Below are 16,255 nucleotides of genomic sequence, written 5' to 3' on the forward strand. Positions count from 1 at the left end.
GGAGGGAAAGAAGCTGAAAGATGGAGCAACACCTGGGGAGAGGAATTAAGGATGCATTCACCACATTTGGCGGTGATGTTGAATTAAGTGGCATTGTTATTGCCCTAGAAGATTTGGAATAAATTTTCACATGACCCCGATCATTTAGAAAAATAGTTTAATAAATCAGAATTTTCTAACTTGGAGACAAAAATCCAAAATTGTAAACACAGGATAGAGGATGATTTACTAAACACAAATATGGGAGCAAAAAAGACCCTTGGAGTTACTATTTTTTCACTGGCTGGACGTAGAATAGCAGTAGAAAAGCCAATGGGATATCAGACATTATTAGAAGAGATTATTTTTACAACTTGCATGCATTTGGTTTACTGTGGTTTATAAAGCATGTTTACATCATTATCTCCTTTAGCCCCTTTCAAATCTTGTGAGTTAGAGATGAACATTATCCCCATTTTACACGTAAAGAGACTGAGGCTCAGAGAAATCATGGAATTTGCCCAACGGCACCCAATTAACAGAGAGCGGGCTCGGACTCAAATCCAGGCTGCCTGACAATGAACCCACAGTGTTCCTGCCCTGCCAGGCAGCCCTCTAACATTGATAGTGTTGCCTACCTTTCTAATATTGAACAGGTCCTACATATTCATTGCCTCAGAATACCATTATGATTTACTCTACCTCCTTAAATCTTTCAACCAATTCCATTAGCCCATAAAAAAGTAATCCTTCAGCTGCACTTTATTAGACCAAAGGATAAGTCCACTTTTGGTCACTGTGCACCAGACCTGGTTTAAACATGCTGTGCGTGTATTTTATTTGAGCAAAGCTCTTCTGAGTATATTTTACTTTTGTTTTACTTACCTGTATTTTCTGATTTTATAAAGTAAGTATAAATTGGTTATATATTTAAAATAAATGAATAGGTAAGTGCACTTTTCTCTGTGTATGTGTGAATATATGTATGTGTGTGAGAAAGAAGGAAAAAAGGAAAGAAAGGAGGGAGGAAAGAAGGAACGGGGAAGGGAAAGAGAAGAAAGGTTTAAGGAATGACGATCGTTTTTGTCTAGAAAAGAGAAAGTTTGGCCGGGCGCGGTGGCTCACGCCTGTAATCCCAGCACTTTGGGAGGCCAAGGTGGGCGGATCATGAGGTCAGGAGATCGAGACTATCCTGGGAAACACAGTGAAACCCTGTCTCTACTAAAAATACATAAAAAAAAAAATTAGCCCGGCGTGGTGGCGGGCGTGGTCCCAGCTGCTTGGGAGGCTGAGGCAGGAGAATGGCGTGAACCAGGAGGTGGAGCTTGCAGTGAGTCGAGATCGCGCCACTGCACTCCAGCCTGGGCGACAGAGCAAGACTCGTCTCAAAAAAAAAAAAAAAAAGAGAGAAGAGAAAGTTAATTGAACAACTTGTTCAAGTCAGATGCCTGGTCCAATATGTGGCATATAGTAAGACTCAATACTTGTTGAATGAATAAAATTAAATTAAAAAGAAGTTGTGTTGATAGAGGTCCTAGAAGTTCCTCGATGTTCTTGGTGCCTACAGAAGGCACTTTACATTAAGGCGGGAGAGATTTTGATTGAATATAAGGAAAAGCTTCTAATCAGCAGACTGAGAGAATATGGAGAAGGTCCGAGGCAACAAGGTCATCGCCCAGTGACCGGGAGAGGCTGGAGGAGAAGATGCAGCCTGTGTCCTGATGAGTTTGGACTGTGCAGCCACCTAGAGGCTGGTCCAGGTCACCGTGTGGGGTTCATTCTAACACCATCAGGCGTGAATTGAGGGCAGAAGTCCTGGTAATGTTCAGAGAGTCAGAAAACGTAAGGGACCTGACAGTCCAGCCCTCTCCGTGTGCACATGGAGAAGCAGGCACCTGTGTTGGTGAGGTGTTTGGACCCCGGGGGGCTGTGCCAGGAGTGAGAGATGGGAGATCAGAGCAGCTGAGAAAAGGCACATTACCAGGAAGGGTTCTGGAAATCCTAAACTTTGATGTCTCAAAAGCTACTTGGCTTCCTAGAACCCCGTACTTGCTGTCACTGAGCCACTTTCTCCCAAACCACGCACCCTTTATACTACCACTTCCTCTACCTACATAATCCTGAGAGTCCATATTGAAAGACAAGGCACACGGGTGGGGGGTGGGGCAACCTGGCTTCATATCGCTCACCAGTTGTGTGACTCTAAGCAAGGAAACGTAATATTTTTGGATTTTATTTTCTTCAAATGCAAAATATGAGCAATAATGGTACCTACTTAATGAGATGGTTGTGTGGAATAAATAAGGCCTGGAATGGGCTTAACACAGTGCCTGAGACACAGTCTGAATAAGAAACGTTTGGGTATTATTAACAATCCAGCAACGCATATGTGTTAAGTACCTTATCCTGTGCTCATTACACTGAGAGACATAGACCAAGATGTTCGTGGCCAAAGTCAAGTAGAACATTAGGCAAGAACAAATCTTTATTAAGTACTTAACTCCACTTTGGGGTCCAAATGATCCATTCTAAAGTCACAATTTTCCTCTTTGCTTAGGATGGCTCAGTCTCCCTCAGTCTCAGCCCCACAGAGGTGGTACTTCTTAGGAGGAGACCTTGTGACTGAGCCCTGCATGACGACACACAATCGCTGCTTTCTGTCTTTGAGTGACACTTGGTCTAATTTAGTACTCCAAAAACCCTTAATTAGTTGAGCACAATCCCTGCTCATCAGACAAGCCACAAGCCCAGCCCAGGGAATGTGGGCTCCCCACTTGAAATGCCAATGAGGCTCAGAGAAGGGTGTAATGCTGGCTTCAAGCCACACTTCTCTACACACACCTCACAGTCACAATTCTCTGGGAGAGATTTCCTTCCTTGTTTCCATCCCTTTTTATATTGTCCAAACTCTCCTCTAGGCATCCAGGAGCTAGCCAAAAGCTAGGAGGGTGGGACTAAAAAGAGATCCCATATATTGCTTGCGTCAACATAAATGGATCTGGAAAAGCAATAAGCATCACCCGCTCCTAGCGGTTACATTTAATTTTGATATAAATGTAGATTCACATGCAGTTATAAGAACTCATACAGAGAGCTCCTGATTCACATCTTGTATAACCATAGCACAATTTCACAGCCAGGAACAATCCACCAACTGTATTCAGATTTCACCAGTTTTACGTGCCCTCGTGTGTGTGTGTGTGTGTGTGTGTACATGTAATTAGTTCTGTGCAATTTTATCATATACTTAGATCCACATAAACATTGTTATAGCAAAGTACAGAACAGTTCCTCCCTCCCTCCTCCACTCTACCGCTGTCAACCACTAATCTGTCTTTCTGTCTTCCATCTCTATAATTTTGTCATTTCAAAAACGTTTTGTAAATGGCATCATATAGTATATAATCCTTTGAGACTGGCTTTTGTCTCTCAGGAAAATTCCCTTGCAATCTATCCACATTGTTGGGCATATCAATAGCTCATTCTTTTTTATTGCTGAGTTATATTCCATGATATGGATGAATTACAGTTTCTTTATCCATTCACCCATTGAAGTACATTTGGGTTGTTTCCGATTTTTGACTATTAGAAGTAAAGCTGCTTTGAACAATTTGTATACAGGTTTTTGTAAGAACATATGTTTTTATTTCTCTGGGATAAATGCCCAAGAGTACAATTGCTGGGTCATATGGTACGCACATATTTAGTTTTGTAAGAAATTGTCATACTGTTTTCCAGAGTGGCTGTACCATTTTACACTCTTAACAGCAATGTCTGAGTGTTCTAGTCTCCAGTTCCTCACCAGCATTTGGTGTTGTCATATTTATTTCTTTTATTTTAACCATACCAATAGGTGTGTAGTGATATCTCATTGTGGTTTTAATTTGCATTTCCCTAGTGACTAATGACATTGAATATCTTCTCTTGTGCTTATTTGCCATCTGTATATCCTCTTCAGTGAAATGTCTAATCATGTCTTATGACCATGTTCTAATTGGGTTGCTTGTTATTTTACTGTTTTGTTTTGAGAGTTCTTTATATATCCTAGATACAAGTCCTTTGTCAGGTACTTGGTTTGCAAATATTCTCCTCCAGTATGTAGTCTTTTCCTCTTCTTCACAGGGTCTTTTGAAGAGTAAACATTTTTAATTTTGACAGCGTCCAGTTCCTCACTGGATCATCTTTTTTTTTTTTTTTTTTTAGATGGAGTTGCGCTCTGTCGCCCAAGCTGGAGTGCAGTGGCTCCATCTCGGCTCACTGTAACGTCCACCTCCTGGGTTCAAGCGATTCTCCTGCCTCAGCCTCCCAAGTAGCTGGGACTTCAGGCATGCACAACCACCACTGGCTAATTTTTGTAATTTTAGTAGATATGGGGTTTCACCATGTTGGCCAGGCTGGTCTCAAACTCCTGACCTCAAGTGATCCTCCTGCCTCGATGTCCCAAAGTGCTGGGATTACAGGCGTGAGCCACTGTGCCCAGCCTGGATCATGCTTTTGGTGTCAACTCTAAGATCTCTTTGCCTCACCCTAGATCCTGAAGATTTTTTCCTGTTTTTTTTTAAGAGGTTTATAGTTTTCTGTCTTACATTTATGTCTTTGATCCATTTTGAGTTAATCTCATCTAAGGTATGAGGTTTAAATCAAGATTCAGTTTTTTTGCATGTGGATGTCTAATTATTCTAGCACCATTTGAACAACCCCCTGTTGAAAAGCAATTTGGCAATATTTATCATAATCCACAAGAACGTTCATAGCTTTTTTTCCTGTCACTTCTGGGAATTCATCCTAAAGAATAATGCAGAAACTTTTAAAAAAAAAAAAAAAAAGCTATAAGCTTAGAAAATATTCACTGTAACATTTTTTATAAAATTGAAAAATTGGAAGTAATCTAAATACCTAACAATAGGAGACTGGTTAAGTATGGCACACACATGAAATAATATGCAACATTTAAAAATATGTTTACTCAATAACTTTCACCCATTCAGCAAATGTTTACTCCATATCCATATGTGTTCGTGCTGAAGATAACATGGTGAGCAAATTAGACATCATCCCTGCCTTCTCAAAGCTCATAGTCTAGAAGAGAGGATAGAGAAAACAATTCTGGCACTTAGAAAAATAGATTTGCTAAACTAGAGGGAAAAAACAGAAAACAAAATTGCATGCACAAGGTTATTGAAACTATGTTAAAATATATGGGTGTAGGAAAAAATCATTCTTTAAGGCGATTGGATCGAAGACAGGTTTTTTTCACCCTGCTTTCCATACCTTCCATAGTATTTTCTTTTTATGATAATAACAGCAGTAAAGAGCAAAGCTTCAATTGCAAAATAGCTTCTTGCCACGAAAAGGTTAGGAATGTCCATTTGAAGAGGCAGCAGGCTCCCGTACAGCAATCCAAAGGGCATGGAAAAGGCCACAGCAGACAGTGAGGTAGCTGGTGCCCAGCTAAGTCATGCTGGATTATTCAGTCCATCAGCAAGTATCCACAGAGCGTCCACAAGGTAACCGGTATCCCATGAGGCACTCAGAATGCTTGTTTAAGAATAGACAGTCCCTGAGCTCTAGAGGCACTTATAAGAAATTCTGATCTCCATCTTCCTCAGGCTTGCCTGGTCCTTCACACCTCACAATGTGCTACCATGTATACGCCCTCATACAATACTCACAACAAACCTGTAAAGTTGTCAGGGAGAATCTAATTATCCCCATTTGTTAGCCACTAAGGCACAGAGAGCTTGAGCAACTTGCCCAAGCTCACACAGATAGTAAATGACAGGCCGGGGGCTTGGACCTGGCCTCCCATCGCTAAGGCCAATGCTGTTCTCAGAATACCACAACTGCCTCAAGAACAGCTGTGATAACAGAGGGCTCAGAGCAAAGGAATAATTAGCAGAGAGCCATCATTAGAACTGAAGTCATGGGGATGAGAAGGCACCGCCTACCACTTCTGGGCCTTTTGGCCAAGATCAAGTGTAGGAAGCATGAGCTACGGCAGGGGGTGGGCTCCCCTCCCCTGGGGTGGTGGGGGCTGGGGGTCCAGGCAGTGAGGGAAATGGGATGCAAACACCTGGGCTCACCTCTCCTCCCTCTCCACAGATGGTGAAGGCAATCCAGGTCCTGAGAATCCACCTGCTGGAGCTGGAGAAAGTCAATGAACTCTGCAAGGACTTTTGTAACCGTTACATCACCTGCCTCAAAACCAAGATGCACAGCGACAACCTGCTCAGGAATGATCTAGGGGGGCCCTACTCCCCCAACCAGCCCTCCATCAACCTTCACTCACAGGTAACACCCAGAGCTGGGTCCCATCTCTTAAGCCAGGCTCCTAAGCCCAGCTCTGGAGCCACGCGTGGAGGAAGGTCCCCTGGTGACCTTCACTGGGTTAGACCCACTGGGTTCCTTTGCCATGAGGGCCCTCCTCTGATGCACTCTTCTTCATATCCATTAGGCCATCCCATCCCTTTTTTACACACAGTCTGCCCTGCCAGGGCATTAGTATTCCCTTGAAAATGACCAGATCGGAGAGGGACAATGTCCAAAATCATTCCTGGCTTCCTGGCCCAAGGTATCCCCCAGAATGAGCACCAGAGCTAAGGAGAAGGAAAGCTCTCCTGGAGGATGAGCTGGGACAGGCTTCTTAAGAGGCTGCGGCTTGCTGAGCCATCTGCATTTCTGGGAAAGGGCATTTGGGGAAAGCAGTCATTCCCTGAATCCTGCCCACCTAATGGGTGAAGCCAGCTTCCCATGGGCCTGCTGCTCCCTAATCATTCTCCAGGCACTCACGCTACTCTGGCATCTCTGTCCCCCTAAGGTTCAGGGCCATGGTCAAGGTCACCTCAAACCACCCTGTTCCCAGGTTCCCCTGCCACCTCCTTCCTGAGACCTGGGAAATGCAGAAATGCTGACTACACGCTTTGGGCAAGATGGGGTTTCCCCTCCAGGGCAGGATATTTTCCCCAAACCTACAAACCGAGAAAGCTGCCTGGCAATACCTTCCCGCCCAACTCACAGACATCTGCATAAGCCACAGGCTTGAGACTTTGTTCCCCTTCCACTGAGCTCCTGAGTCCTGGAAGACACCTGGAGGGTCCCCAAGGAGTCCTCTGTAGCCTCTTCTCATTAAACAATCAGGCATGGGGATGCAGGTAAACTTTCTAGGAGTGAGTGCCGAGAGGTGCTGGAAGTAGTGCCAAAGAAAGGCTGTGCCGTTTTTGTCCCTAGACCCCTAAGGAACCACCCATGTACTCTATCTCCCCAGATTGGTGGAGTCAGGGGAGGGGACAGGCTGACTTCTAGAAGGCCAGCCTTGCTTTGCACATTTTGACAACAAGCACAAAAGATACACTCGGTATCACATCCAACCCACCCCAGTGGGCTCTTTGTGAGACTCCGTAGTGAGTACTGCCCAGGACATAGGGCAAGAAGTTTACTTCCTCTTCCTCTCGCTTGAAATCACCAAGTCACTTTATTACAGATCTAAAAACACCCGCCCGGGCTTCTGCCTGCTAATATTCTCTTGAAATAGACTCATTCCTTCAGAGTCTTATTGTACTTTCCCTTATGATCAAAATTAGCAAGAAACTTGCATAAAAGAGGACAATAATTGCTCAACGAGCATCTCGTTTGTAATTTATTAGTTTCTATTATTGTGGGTTACCATGGTGACGCTGCGCAGTCCCGGTGATGGGAGAGATGCAAGATAGGAGCTGAGGAGGCTGTGAGGCCTCGCCAAATGGAGATGCACATTTTTATCAGTAATTTTCATGAAAATAATAAGTGAGGAGTTAATGAGATGGAAAGCCATCCTGTGGCTATTGTGAATTTTTTTTAAGTGTTGATCTAATTAGAATGCATCGGTCAGGAAAAGTAATGAGGATTTAGTGCCTCACAGAGATGTGAGGATCATATCAGAAAATTAGCACAAGTCTTTGGAAATAATCAGGTCCTTGGAGAGGCACTGGATTTCCCCTCCTGGGCCCTCCAACTCCACCTCGAGCTCTGGAGCTGGGGGTGCACCAGGGTAGTGGGGGAAGGAAGGAGGGGCAGAGGGCTTAGCAGCCACCTCAGCCCCCTCAGGGTTGGAGGTCTGAGACTGACAAGTTGGTCTGCAGAAACCAGTCGGTCACTGGAGAAGTGGGGTTTGCAGAAAAGGATAACGCGGACTCTGGATGGTTAAGTTCTCAGAGATGCTGCCACCTGCAAAAATCAGTCCCCCTGGAGAATCCCGGCACTCAGCCTTCTGAGCTTTGAGGAAAGACAGAAGAATTTTGATTCCTATCACTGGAAGCATCAGATCTCTGCCTGGAAGTGAGGCTGGCCCTGGGGTACCCACGGCAGAAAGGCCATTGATCAGCTGGGAAAGAGGAATCAGACAATTGCGTGGTGGGTGTGGGGGAGGGGGTGATGCAAGCGAGGCACTGAGAAAGAGAAAAGACACTAGTGAGGTATTCCTACTTGGTATTACTCAAACTTGTCCCTGCATTTTCTCTGACTGCCACCACCTGCTTTGTTCTGGCTTCGGGGGTAAATACGGTGATTACACATAGGCTATGACAGGAGCTTCCTAACCTGCTCTCCTGGCCATCCCTCAGCCCACCTGCACACCCATGCATCTCTTAAGCTTCTGCTGCTGGATTCATCTTTCTAACTTTGTTCATGTCATTCGCCTGCTCAGAAACCCTGCTTGCCATGCCCCTGGGGGTGGAAGGGAGGGCTTTCACATCTGCCCACCTGACATTCAAGGCCCTCCTAGGTCTGGCTTCAGCCTTCCTGGGTGGGCCAATCTGACTGTTCAAGGTGCTGTAACCATCACTCCATGCCTGTCTGTTCGGGTGACACCTCCCCCACAACCCCATCATCTCTGCACAACCAAACCCAGCTTCTTCCCCAAGGGTAGGAACAAGGCTGCTCACCCAGGAGGACTCCCTGATGCCCCATCCAGAATGGACGCTTCCTGCACTCCACTAACTGGTGGAGCTTGCTGAGCCATCGATATGGCAAAAGTCACTGTGACTTTATATTATAGATCCCTGTGTTCATCTCATTTTCCTATCCTAGATAACACTTTTTGAGCAGAGACAGTATTTTACATGTTTGAAATCACCAAATCACCTTATTATAGGCCAAAAACAGCCATTTCCAGCCTCTGCCTGCTGATAGTCTCTTGAAATAGACTCATCCCTTCAGAGTCCTAGTGTACTCTCCCTGTGACCCCAGCAGTGGCTACCACAAGGTCTTGTGCAAGAAAGATGGCCGGGAAGTATTTATTGAAAGAAATAATGGAATGAGAGAAAGAAAGTTGGGTGGGGGGCAGGGGCAAGGGGAAGCCAAAGGAGGAAAGGAGAAATAGGAAGAAAAATAAAGGGAAAGAAAGCCAAATATGCAGGGTCAACATTCAGGAGGGAAGCAGAGACAGGCTGAAGAATTGGAGGAAAAGAGCAAGAGAGAGAGACAGGGAGGCACACAAACCCAGGAAAAGGGAGACGATACTGAGAACGACGGGGCAGAAGGACAGACGGAGAGAGGAACGGCAGCAAGAGTGACAGCAAGTGAAAGGACAATGCATGTGGCTCAGTGCGCAGCCAGGGTACGAGGAGGCGGGAAAGTCAGGAGGATGTGCTATGTGCTGCTCCTGTTGTATTACTCAAACTTGCCCCTGCATTTTCTCTGACTGCCACTGCCTGCTTTGCTCAGGCTTCAGGGGTAAATACGGTAATTACACATAGGCTATGGCAGGAGCTTCCTAACCTGCTCTCCTGCCTTCTCTGGCCATCCCTCGGCCCACTTGCACACTCACACGTCTCTTAAGCCTTCCCAGGACAGGCCCCTGTCATTATTGCACTAAGGTAGGGGCCGGGCTTGCATGGGCTCTCCCAGGAAGGAGAGGCCCAGGGCTGCTAAGAATCGGGGACCGAGACTTTCAGTGCAGGAGGCAGGTCTTGGGTTCAAGACACAGGAGCCTGTATGAGAGAGAGAAAAGGAGCTTGTGAGTGTGTGTGTGTGTGTGTGTGTGTATGTGTGTGCACACGCGGGCACATGCATTCGTCATGGTTCACCCTTAATCCCCCCGGCCTGAAATAGCCTGAGCACCAGCCTGGCCTGGGGAGGGGTGTCTCCCCTCTGGAACATGATCCTCTGGATCAACATTCCAGCCGCCTGCCAGCTTTGTTGCAAACTGCTGGCTCATGGTTTTCCCTGTGTGCTAATCATCCAGCCTTGTGTTGCAAAGCGGGAGACATTTTTGTTTTCAACTTGGTATCCCCACTCCCAGATGCTATGCCGTGTCCTCCATCCAGATCGATGGGTTGAGCGTTTTCCTGCTCGGCCTTCGATTTCTCTGTGTGAGTCTTCTCTGCTGGGCAAAGTGGAGATGGGAAGTAAGGGAGACTGTTCTACCAAGCAGGGGACTAAAGCAGACTTTCAAAGACCTGGGCCACAGCTAGATTTTCCCCCTCCCTAGGAACCCATCCTGTGCTGCAGGCACCCAATGACACCCAGGCTTCCTACTCCTCAGAGCCCAGGCTTCTTGTGGGGGCAGGATCCTCTGTAAGGAGACTGGTTCTAGACCCTACTCTGGGTTCTCCTGTCCTTCCTAGAGGGCGCAAATGGAACCATTCCACTAGAGAGACACCTCACTCAAGTATTAGTTTGACCTGAAATTCATCCTTTTTTCTCTGTGGAGATTTAAGCCTCAGCTCTATTCCAGGCAAATTGGATTGAATCATGGTTCTCATTCAATTGCCAAGCGTTTGGGGGGCACTCACTGTATGTTCTGTGCTAGGTCCTGTGAGAACAGACACAAGCCATTGTCCAAGAGGAGCTCCCAGTCTCAGGGAGAGAGAGCCATGAGTCACAATGAGGATCTAGATAAATCATGTCAGCCGTGAAATGCTCAGGGTCAAGAGTACAGAGGAAAGGAGCAGCCAAAGAGATGGGGAGAGGAGCTGCAGGCAGGGATTCTGGATTGGGTGATCCACATGTGTGGCTTGAGGTTGCCCCAGTCTCAACTCAGCATCCTTCATCCTTCCTCAGAGGGGGACCAAGTCCCAGACCCAGCCCTCACACCTTCATGGCCAGTTTGTTCCTGCTCCACAATAGGATAAACAAACCTCAGTACAGAGTGGAGAGGACAACAGGAGGATTTTGCCCATTGTGATTGGAGAAGTTACAGATTCATTGGCCTTGGGAGGGCTTCCTCTGGGAGGTGGCATTTCAGGCAGGCTTGGTGAGAGTTGGTAGCCTATTTGGCAACCTTTATAAAGGTGAGTGTTTCCAATGTAGCAAGAAGTCTGAAAGAAGGCGAGAAACAGAGAGAGCCAATCAGAATCCCTAGAGAGGAGATGGGGTGAAGGGGGCTCATTCATTCACGCATCCTGCATCCATTCAGGCACCTCTGGAGCCTACTGAGTTCTGGGGATATAAAAAATGGATGCGACACAGTCCCAGGTCTCCAAGTGTAATGATGGAGTACCTTGAAGCCAAATGTGTGGGAGTTCTGTTTTGGGGCTAATAGTGGTGGCCGACTGCTAAAGACTTTAAAGGTAGTGGAGAATGTAGGCAACAGGGTCAGGGCTGGAGACACGCTGGAGACAAATCAATTGAGCAGCCACATCTTGTATTGGTCCAAGAAGAGCTGGCAGAAGGAGGGGAGACGGTGAACATTTATTGAGCTCCCCTCTGTCTCAAACATGGTGTGTACTAGGTGCTTTCCACAGATTATCTAATTTACTCTTCATGACAGGCTGCAAGGTACACATGATTTTCTCCATTTTACATCCAAGAAAAGAGAAGCTGAGAGAAGTGAAGACCCTGGCTCAAAGTCACACACCTAGCAAGTGCTGGAGTCCGGGATGGGCTACTCCAGAGCCCATGTTCTTCTTGCTACATGGGGATATGTTTTTGTGACACATGGGGAGAAGAATCAGGGGTCCTGGGACCTGGGTGGAGAGTGATGACCCTACCTAGCTATTGGTCAGTGGGGTAGGGACTACAGAGGAAGAAGCCAATTGCTACGAAGCAAGAATTTGGATTTGCTAGTAGACTGGAAGTAGGGAAATGAGAGGTACAAAGTTGAGGACATTCTGAGATGCTAGGCCCAGCTGCCAGATGCGACTCTGCAGCTCTGCGCCTCCCCAGCAGAATAGGAAGGGGGCTAATCAATGCATCCCCACCTGAGAAGGGTGGCACTTGCCTATTGACCTCTAAGGAATTTTGGATTTTCCAGATTGGCAGGGGGCGGAAGGGGTAGGGGGCCATCACCTCAGCCAGGACCCTAGAGGTTCTGCCCAGTGGCTAAGCATCCTGAGGACAGGACCAGGGAGAAGACTGGATGGGGCTGGGGTAGGGGGCAATCTACCCTGGAAAGATCACTACTTAGATGGACAGGGGGCATCCCTAGACTGAAGTGGAATAAAATGAGCCACACTGCCTGTCACAGGCATTAAAGCTGTCTCTTCTGCCGGTTCCTCACCCCCAGCCCTGCAGCCGTGGAGCCCAGAGACCAGAGGGTGGCCTTTGCCGCCAGGCTAGTGAAACCTGAGCGCTTCTCCCGCCTGAGAAGGAATGTTCCTTAAGAGCAGCAGCTGCTGCTTGTCCCCACAGGCCAGAACTGCCTTTCCCTTGAGACCAAGGCCCCCAACAGGAGTGGAACAAGAACAGGATTAGGTGGCTTGTTTACATGTGCTTGGCTTTCCCGAGTTTGGGAATCTGGCTTTTCTTGGTCTAAGACAGGGCCCTGGCTCTGCCAGAACGGAGGGATGCTGCCGGGAAGGGGTGTCTGGGGACAGGGACAACCTCTCCACCCTCCTAAGGCACATTTGCGCGGGCACACACACAAACACACACATCACACACACACAAACACACACACACCACCACACACAGGAATACACCCACAGCCTTAGGCCAAAGTCAGACCACACATGTATCTCGCATGTACCATGCACTTAACATTGCGCTAAGCAGTTTCGGGGAATTCAGAGAAAGACCCCTCTTTCCCTCAAAAAGCCTGCCACCAAGCTAGGGAAAGACGACGCCTGCATTAGAGAGAACCATTCTGTTGTGTCCAGTATGTAAGGCAGATGGGAGGCTTTGAAGAGTCCAGAGGACGGGCCGCGGCTGTGCCCTGGAGAGGTCAGGACAAGCTTTCCAGCAGAAAGGAGACATTCAGAACCGACCCCCACCCGCCCCGAGCCCAGGCAGGGGAGCCGCCAGCACGCGCCTTCTGGGAGGCTTTGGTGAGTGTGGTCTGAGCCGGTGGATCAGCAGAGACCTCTAGTGGCCGGGGGGAGGATGGCAGGTGGCTGGGGCTGGCTCCGCACTGCACCCCACTCCGGCCACCGACTCACCGTCACCCACCCTCCCACACAATCCTTAGGAAATGGCATGGGCTCTTTTACAGTCCTCAGCTGGAAGGATCTTTGCCAGGCCATCCCGTTCATTCCCCTGTTTCACAGGCATCCAAGTAAGATAAAAATTCCACCTATTTCAAAACAGCTTAAACAGAAACTTTTCTGTCATTTATCTCCTTCACTCCTTCATGTCTTTGTCCCATTCTGGTTTCTTCCAGGAATTCCTTCCTTGAGTGGAAATGAAGTCTTCCTTGAGTTTCCCAGGGCAGTTCAAGCCCTTTCCCTATTAAAAATGAAGCACGGTGGCTCACAGGGACAGACAGCTCTTCCTGGGCTGACGTGAGACCGCTGTGCATTCATGTGGGCCCCTGCACCCCCCACTTCCAAAAGTCATTCCACAGCTTCTCATCGTTTCTTAGTAAGGCCTTCCTTTGGAACAAGTCATCTTTCTGCTGTTCCAAATGCAATTTGGAGTAAAACTCCCCTGGGGACCACTGAGGTCTGTGAAGAATGAGTGGCAGTCGCAGTTCCAGGGTGTTGCAGCTGGCCCAGAGGATGGTGCTCGGGAGGCACCAGTTCTCTGCCATTCCAAACCCAAAGCCCTGCCTTGCTCTGCCCCTCCTGAGAGGCTCCTGCTTCTGAGTCTCAATCAACAGCACACAAGGAACAGGAGTGGGGCCGCTTCCAGGGGTGCCCATGGAGCCCGGCGTGTTGGTTTTCATCTGATTCCCAGGCCTCAGGCAGTTTCCAGAGGCTTGGGGACACCACGGCTGTCTTCCTAGTGGAACAAAACGAACAGAATTCTTGGGCTGGATAACCAGCTGTCATCCCCAGGTTCCTGGATAATTCCAGCAGGGATGTGAGGCTCTGGGTGCTGAAAAAAGTAACTAGAACCGTACCAAACACTCTTCTCACTTCCATCTGGGTGCTAAGGAGCCTAGAGGGGAGCAACTCTGTGTCTAGACACAGTGGCATCTACCTGGGTTTGGAGTCTGATAAGCCCTGAGGGGAAGCTGTCAAAAAGCTAATAATACTGTGTGCTTAGCCAACATGTGCTCCCCACGGGGTTTCCACCGCTGCTCTGGAAGTTCCTTCCTCAGAAAAGAGAGTCAGACCCTCCTTGTCTCCATTCCACGGCTCTAGAGACTAAGCCTGGACTGGAAATCGCAGCCAAGTGGAGTTGTGGGGCTAGTCAGAGACGATGCTTAGGATCCTGGGACTCGACCATTGCCCAGGAACATCTCAGACAGGGAGACATGTAGCCAGGTTTGCACAACTCTGCCTGCGTGCGCAACCCCAGCTGAACCCCTTCCATTGCTACGTAAAGAACTCAAGTGGCTTGAAGGCTTCTAGGACAGGTTTTTAAATCCCAACTGTACGACTCCCTAGTTGAGTGACCTTAGCCAAGGGAAGTGGGAAATAAATTATTGGATGGCTAAATGTGCCAGGCACTGTGCTTGCATTGGAGCCTGTCTGACCCCGAAGCACATATCCTCTCTCTGTGAGCACTCGTCCTACACTCAGAGCCAGAGGCCTTAGGCTGGAGGCACAGTTATTTGACTCTGGGAAGTCACTTCCATCCTCTCTGGACCTCAATCTCTCTTCAGGCAAATAGGACAGTCCTGCTGACCCCATGGGGTGATGGTGACATTAAAATGGAACAGCGTGGTGAAAGCTCTCTCATACTCAGCGTGTACGATCTTTGGGACCATCACAAGGAAGTTTTTAGAAATATAGATTGCTAGATGATGGGTGAGGGTCTTGACCCAGTGGCCCTGAGAATCTATGTCTAAAAAAAAAAAAAAAAAAAAAAAAAAAAAGCACACTCAAGGCAGGTTTGTGAAGCAGCTCATGTTTACAGATGTAAGGGATGAATATCATTTCCCCAGACCTCCGGGATGCCAAAATTTTGCTTCCTCTTCCCTGCCCCACCTAAAACGTTGCCAGTCCCAGCCCTGCCCTTGGACTCTATCTCTGAAGGTTTTTATTTTATTCCTTCACTGATAGAATCTGGCTGCCTCTCAGCACCTTCCAGCCAAAGACCCAGGGAAGGGAGAGAAGGGTAGGAAAGAGAAGGCTCTGATCCAATGCATAAATTGCCCTTAGTTACCCAAATTGGGTAAATTGGCATGGAGGGTATCCAAGCCACAAGGTGGAGAAGCAGCCAGGGTCTGAGTAAGCAGACGAAGCATCCAGGTGGTGGCTCACCCTCTGCCTTTGGCTAGGAAACAATGTGTGTTGGTTGAATCCCAAGGGACACATCTTGTATTTATTTTACTGACTTTGCTTGTATTTTTCTAACCTTGTTGGGTACTTTTTTGGGGGTGAAGAAAGTCTAGGACAACCTTTTATGTTTGAAATTCTCAAATATCCCTACCAGAAGAGGCACAGGCTAGCATGGATGATTCCAAACAAGGGATTGAGAAGTCACTTCCACTGGTTTTAAGGTGAATGGCATGGAGGTACCCACTCCCCCATTAAATTTACCTTCAAGCCTGGTGTGGTGGCTCACGCCTGTAATCCCATGACTCAGGAGGCTCAGGTGGGAGGATTACATGACCCCAGAAGTTTGAGACAAGCCTGGGCAACAGAGCAAGACTCTCTACCCTGTCTCAAAAAACAAACAAAAAAAAAAGTAAATTTACCTTCCGAGTTTGCTTCAGCTTCAAATATAATATCAGCACGGTTTACACACCATGAGAATGGTAGGCTGGGATGTTGGAACAAGGAGAACTCAAACTCAGAGCAGTCTCATCGCTGAAAACTCAGGCGTTGAGGGTCCCGGTGTCACATGCACTGTATACATAAGGAGATGAGGCCCACAGAAGGGTGGTGACGAGATTGCCTTTCCTCCAGTGCCCACGCTGCTTCTGGACTTCTGAGTTTTAGTTGTTTTTATCTGTTCACCTTGCCTGCAATGA

General features: G+C 47.6%; 1 protein-coding gene across 28 annotated transcripts in view; it reads left to right on the forward strand.

Moving 5' to 3' along the window:
* Window positions 1-16,255, forward strand: part of PKNOX2 (PBX/knotted 1 homeobox 2) — a 268,639-nt gene that overhangs the window by 227,042 nt on the left and 25,342 nt on the right. For 26 of the 28 annotated variants that reach the window (NR_168078.1, NR_168083.1, NR_168079.1 and 23 more), the window contains one exon: window positions 6,082-6,270. Coding sequence is in view for 19 of the 28 variants with exons in the window: in NM_001382333.1 (NP_001369262.1) it covers window positions 6,082-6,270 (189 nt within the window). In the remaining 9 variants the exon portion in view is untranslated. Of the gene's footprint in view, window positions 1-4,182; window positions 4,305-6,081; window positions 6,271-16,255 lie in introns of all 28 variants that reach the window. The other 2 variants (NR_168082.1, NR_168081.1) reach the window with 1 other exon arrangement.

Source organism: Homo sapiens, chromosome 11 (genome assembly GCF_000001405.40).
Source record: "Homo sapiens chromosome 11, GRCh38.p14 Primary Assembly".
Lineage (NCBI taxonomy): Eukaryota > Metazoa > Chordata > Mammalia > Primates > Hominidae > Homo > Homo sapiens.